This window comes from Homo sapiens, chromosome 11 (genome assembly GCF_000001405.40).
Source record: "Homo sapiens chromosome 11, GRCh38.p14 Primary Assembly".
NCBI classification, from domain to species: Eukaryota; Metazoa; Chordata; class Mammalia; order Primates; family Hominidae; genus Homo; species Homo sapiens.
Window position 1 is genome coordinate 75,746,865 of NC_000011.10, and position 1,005 is coordinate 75,747,869.

Consider the following 1,005-nt stretch of genomic DNA (forward strand, 5'->3'; position numbering starts at 1 on the left):
CAAGTATTCATTCAACAAAATGTTCCTGACCTTATCAGGCACATGGGACCAGGAAATAGCAATGGGAGATAAACCCTTTCCCCACCCTGGAGGTACTCATGTCCAATGCCACAGTAAAGGAGGTGGTGTGACCAGTGGCTATCTGGGCTTCCCCTCCCCATGCCTCTCTGCTTAGCAAAATCCTAGCCCCACACTAGCAGAGGGAAGCACAAACCGCTATGGAAATGCAGGGGTGCAAACAACCCATTGCGTACCCATAGGTGTGCAGGAACTATGGAAGGCTGAGGGTGGAGAAGAGCTGAGAAAGGACTGATCAAAATTTAACTTGTATGTTTGAAAGGACACTATCGAGAAATGTTAAAGATAACCCACAGAATGGAATAAAATATTTGCAAAGCATATATCTGATAAGGAACTGGTATCTACAATACATTAAGAAATCTTGCAACTCAAAAATAAAAAGACAACCTAATTAAAAAATGGACAAAGGATCTGACTAGACTCTTCTCCAAAGAAGATACATAAATGCCCAATAAACACATGAAAAAAATGCTAAACATTGGCCAGGCACAGTGGCTCACATCTGTAATCCCAGCACTCTGGGAGACTGAGGTAGGAAGATCACATGAGGCCAGGAGTTTGAGACCACTCTGAGCAACAAAGTGAGACCCGCATCCCTACACACACAAAAAAAGAAAAAAATTAGCCCAGGGATGGTAGTGCATACCTGTAGTCCCAGCTACCCAGGAGGCTGAGGTGGGAGGATCACTTGAGCCCAGGAAGTCAAGGCTGCAGTGAGCCATGATTATCTCACTGTACTACTTCCTGGATGACAGTGAGACCCTGTCTTTAAAAAAACAAAAAAAAAATTGCCCGATGTCATTAGTCCTCAGAGAAATATGAATCAAAACTACAGTGAGACACCACTTCATACCCACTAGGATGGCTACAATAAAAAGTCAGGTAATAACAAGTGTTGTCGAGGATGTGGAGAAATTAGAACCC